Raw genomic sequence first — 5915 nt, 5'->3', positions numbered from 1 at the left:
ATCATAGGAATCACTATTCATGGTAGCTATAGAGTTATAAAATATATTTATTAAATAATAAGACTTGAAAGTTGGAATAATTCTTTGATCCATAGGTTGTAGAATAGATGTTGTGCTAACAGGCTTGAAACAACATTAGTCTCATTGTATATCACCATCAGAGCTATTGAGTGGTCAGGTGCATTGCCAGTAAGCAATCATATTTTCAAAGGAATGTTTTTTTCTGAGCAATAGGTTTCAACAGTGGGCTTAAAATGTTCATTAAACCATGCTTTAAACAAATGTGCTGTCATTCAGGCTTTCCTGTTCCACTTATAGAGCACAGGCAGAGTAGATTTAGCATAATTCTTATGGTCTTTAGGATTTTCAGAATGATAAATGAGCATTGGCTTCAACTGAAAATCACCAGGTGCATTGGCCTCTAAACACAGAATCAGCCTGGTTGTTGAAGCTTTGAAGCCAGGCACTGTCTTCTCCTCTTTAGCTATAACAATCCTAGGTGGTATCTTCTTCCAGTGGAAAGGTATTTTGTCTACACTGAAAATATATTGTTTAGTGTAGCCACATGCATCAATGATCTTACCTAGGTCTTCTGGATAACTTGCTACGGCTTCTACATCAGCATTTGCTGCTTTGCCTTGCCCTTTTATGTTATGAAGGGGGATTCTTTACTTAAACCTCATGTGCCAACCTATGCTGGCTTCAAACTCTTCGGCTACAGCTTTCTCATGTCTCTCTGCCTTCACAGAATTGAAGAGAGTTACGGCCTTCCTTTGAATTAGGCTTTGAGTTAAGGAAATTGTTGTGGCTACTATGATATTTTATCTAGATAAGGGGTCCCCAACTCCCTGGCCACAGAACGGTACTGGTCTGCGACCTGTTAGGAATTGGGCTGCACAGCAAGAAGTGTGCTGTGGGCCAGCAAGCATTACTGCCTGAGCTCTGCCTCATGTCAGATCAGCATTGGCATTAGATTCTCACAGGAGTGTGAACCCAATCGTGAAGTGTACATGTGAGGGATCTAGGTTGTGTGCTCCTTATGAGAATCTAATGCCTGATGATCTGATGTGGAACAGTTTCATCCTGAAACCATTGCCTCACCCCCATCCATGGAAAAATTGTCTTCCACAAAACCAGTCCCTGATGCCAAAAAGGTTGGGGACCACTGATCGAGACCATTAAAACTTTCTCAATATCAGCAATAATCCTGTTTTGCTTTCCTGCCATTAATATGTCCACTGGAATAACACACTTTATTTCTTTCGATAACTTTTCTTTTGCATTCACAACTGGGATGTCTGACATAAGAGGCCTAACTTTCAGCCTATTGTGGCTTTTGACATCCTTTCCTTACTAAGCTTAATTATTTTAAGCTTTTGATTGAAAATGAGAGATGTACAACTCTTCCTTTCACTTTAACACTTAGGGGTCATTGCAGGGTTATTGACTGGCATAATTTCAACATTGTTGTGTTTTAGGGGACAGGGAGGCCTGTCTGCAGAGAGAGAGAGATGGAAAAATGGCCAGTGAGTGGAGCAGTCAGGACACACACAATATTTATCAATCTAATTTGCAGTCTTATATGGGTGTGGTTTGTGGAACCCCAAATAATTACAAAAGTAAAATCAAAGTTCATCAATCAGAGATCACCGTTAAAGACATAAAAATAAAAATTTTGAAATATTGTGAGAATTTTCAAAATGTGACACAGACACATTAAGTGACAACATGCTGTTGGAGAAATAATGCCAATAATCTTGTTTGATGCAGTGTTGCCAAAAAACTTCAATTTGTGAAAAACAAAATAACTGTGAAGTGCAATAAAACAGCACAATATAACACGGTATTACTGTATACCACAATGGCTTTATCCATCCATCCATTGATGGACACTTAGGTTGTTTCTGTATCTTGGCTACTGTGAATAATGCTGTAATAAAAATGGGAATGTAAATATCTGTGTGAGGTGCTGAATTTCATTTTCTGGCATTCATCACAGGAATAAATTTAAAAATTCTAAAATTCAATCATAAAAGACTCTGAATAACCAAAGCCATCTTGAGGAAAAAACAAACAAACATGGAGGCACTACACTTTCTGATGTCAAATTGTATAACAAAGCTATAGTAATCAAAGTAATATGGTACTGACATAAAAACAGACACATAGGCCAGTGAAACACAATACAGAACTCAGGAGTATATCCAAGCATATATACGCAATTAATTTTTGACAAGAGTACCAAGAAGACAAAATGAGGAAAGGATATTCTCTTTAATAAATGGCCTGTGGAAATTGGATATTCACATGTAAAAGAATAACTCTTACACCATATGCAAAAATCAACTAAAAGTAGAATAAAGAACTATACATAAAACCTGAGACCATAATTCTGCTAGAGAAAGACATTGAAGAAATACTCCTGGGTATCACACTAAAAGTACAGGCAACAAAAGCAAAAATAAACAAGTGGGACTACATGAAAGTAAAAAGCTTCTGCACAGCAAAGGAATAAAAAGAAATGGCAGGCAATAGATTTGGAGAGATTATTTGTAAATCATATATCTGAAACTGTTTAGCATCCAAAATAATTGAGATTAGTCAATGCTTCAGTTAGCCTCTGTTCCAAGGCTATGGCCTTCACAAGGGCCTGTCAGTTTCATTTTGGTTTATCCCTTAGGGTAAAATTGCAAAGCTCGAGTGATCTAAAATTGGGCATTTTCACTCCTCTAGATTGGTTAGGCTCTGTTAAAATCATACTAAGATGGGCTCTTCTAAAATAGTTTCCCTTGGGTACAAGCCTTGTTAAGAAGAAAAGAATACAGAATACTCTGGTGATTATTAAAGGTGGCTATATTCCCCCCTACTCCTTGCCAGAAGTAAGAGGGATTTTTCATCCATCTTCACTGTGAGAACCTGGTAGGACTTATGAAGCTCAAACTTACTGAAGTACAAGGTCCTCCCTAAGACATGCTTACCTGGAGTGTTTAACTCTCAAATTTGTTCACTTCGAGACTTCAGCAATTTGTCAATTACAGTTTAGGTTTATTTTCCTCTGGTACTGGTTCCCATGGGGTTTCTATTCTTGTTTACTGTTTAGGTAAGTTGTGACTATTTGCCTGCCTGATTCTTAAATTTGGTCGTTAGTAGTTGTTTCTATAACTTTATTTCTATGATAAGTCCAAGAAGAGTTGATTTTTAGTCTGTTCACCTTTTTTCTTATGATGTAAATGGGAGAACTGGATTCAAAGTTTTTTACCTGCCACACAAAAAATTGGAAAGTCTAAGTGTCTTTATTCAAATTTCAGAACCTCCAGACTCTACCTCTCATGTTAACCTAAACTCTTCTATTCTTTCATTGCAATTGTCACCACTTGTAATTTTCACATATCATGTTTGTAATTGTACAGGGTTTCACTGAGATAGAGAATGGAGTTTGTGAAATCAAGTGAAATCAATTCACTCTTTTTTTTCTGTTTTTGATAGAATTGATGAAATTCCCAACCCAGATCCTACCATATCTTAATTACTTCGGAGTCAATGTAAACTTTATAACATAAACATATACCTTCTTAACTTGGGAGGGAAAATATTTTCACATTAAATTATGAAACAAAGTCCCTTCTTTTTATTTCAAGCTATAGATTATATATTTCCCCCTAATATGGTCTGAATCTTTGTCCCTGTTAAATTTTGATCCCCAATGTTGAAGGTGGGGCCTGGTAGGAGATGATTGGATCATGGAAGTGGATTTTTATGAATGGTTTAACATCATTCCTTTGGTGCTTTTCTTGTGATAGTGAGTTCTCAGGAGATCTGGTTGTTTGAAAGTGTTTGGTACCTTACCCCTTCTCTCATTTGCTCCTGCTCCCACCATTTGTGAAGACTTTCTCCTTTTCCTTATGCCATGATTGTAAGCTTCCTGAGGTCTCCCGAGAAGCAGAAGTTTCTATGCTTCCTGAAGAACCATGAGCCAATTAAGCTTCTTTTCTTTATAAATTACCCAGTCCCAGGTATTTCTTTATAGTGATGTAAGAATGAACAAATACAAGAAAATAGCACCAATGGGTGGGCATTGCTATAAATATACCTGAAAATGTGGAAGCAATTATGGAACTGGGTAATGGATAGAGGATGGAAGAGTTTGGAGGGCTCAGAAGAAGACAGGAAAATGAGGGCAAGTTTGCAACTTCCTAGAGACTGGTTGAATGGCTGTGATCAAAATGCTGATAGAGATATAGACAGTGAAGCCCAGGCTGATGAGGTTTCAGATGGAAATGAGGAACTTACTTGGAACCGGAGCAAAGGTCAGTTTTATTTTGCCTTAGCAAAGAACTTGGCTGCAGTGTGCCCCTTACCTAGGGATCTGTGAAACTTTAAACTTGAGAAAGATGATTTAGGTTATCTGTCAGAAGAAATTCCTAAGCACCAAAGCATTTAATATGTGATCTGGCTGCTTCTACCAACCTATGTTCTCATATGTGTGAGCAAATAAATGACCTAAAGCTGGAATTTATATTTAAAAGGGAGGCAGAGCATAAAGTTTGAACAATTTGCAGCCTGGCTTTGTGGTAGATAAGAAAAAACAATTTTCTGGGGTGGGATTCAAGAAGGCCACAGAAATTTGAATAGCTGAAAAGGAGGCAAGTGCAGATAGCCAAGACAGTGGGGAAAAAGCCCAGAAGACATTTCCATGGCATCCTGTCCCATCACAGGCACAGAGGTCTATGATGACTGAATGGTTTCCTGGGTCAAGACCAGAGCCCCTATGCACTGTGCAGCCTCAAGACACTGCTCCCTGCTTCCCAGCTGCTCCAGCTTTAGGTATGGCTCCAAGGGGCCCAGGTACAGCTTGGACCACTGCTTCAGAGAGTGCAATCCGTATGTCTTGGTGCCTCAACATGGTGTTAAGCCTATAGGTGCACAGAGCACAAGAGTTGAAGCTTGGGCATCTCTGCCTAGATTTCAGATGTGTGAAAAAGGCTGAGTGCTCACGCAGAAGAAGCCTGCTGCAGGGGCAGAGTCCTCAAGGATAACTTCTACTAGGGTACTGCAGATGGGAAATGTGGGGTTGGAGGCCAACACATAGTCCCCACTGGGGTACTGTATAGTGGAGCTGTGAGGAGGGCACTGTCTTCCAAACCCCAGAATTACAGATCCATTAACAACTTGCACTCTCACCTGGAAGAGCTGCAGGCACACAATATCAGACCTTGAGATCAACTGTGTGTGTGATTCCTGAAAAGCCACAGGTGTGGAGCTGCCCAAGGCCTTGGCAGCCCACCCCTTGCATCAGTGGGCCCTGAATTTGGGACATGAAATTAAAGGAGATTATTTTTGACCTTTAAGACTTAACTACTTCCCTGCTGGGTTTTAGACTTATATGGGGCTTGCAGCCCCTTTCTTTTGGCCTACTTTTCCCTTTTAGAATGAAAGTATTTATTCAATAACTATTCCCCCATTGTATCTTGGGAGTAACTAACTTGTTTATGATTTTACAGGTTCATAGGTGCGAGAGAGTTGCCTTGTATCAGATTAGAATTTGGATTTTTGAGTTAATGCTGGAATAAGTTCAGACTTTGGGTATTATTAGAAAGACATGATTGTATTTTGCAATGTGAGAAGATCATGAGATTTGGGAAGGGCAGGGGAGGAATGATGTGATTTGGATCTTTGTCCCTGCCCAAATATCATGTCAAACTGTAATAACCAATGTTGGAGGTGGCACTTAGTGGTAGGTTATTGGATTATGAGGCTGAATTTCACATAAATGGTTTAGCACCATCCTCTTGGTGCTGTTCTTGTAATAGTAAGTTCTCACAAGATCTGGTTGATTGAAAGTGTGTGCCACCTCCCCCCCGCACTTTCTCTTGCTCCTGCTCCTGCCATGTGAGATGCTTCACTCCCATTTTGCC

This window comes from Homo sapiens, chromosome X (genome assembly GCF_000001405.40).
Source record: "Homo sapiens chromosome X, GRCh38.p14 Primary Assembly".
In the NCBI taxonomy this organism is placed as follows: domain Eukaryota; kingdom Metazoa; phylum Chordata; class Mammalia; order Primates; family Hominidae; genus Homo; species Homo sapiens.
This window is presented reverse-complemented; position numbering follows the sequence as displayed.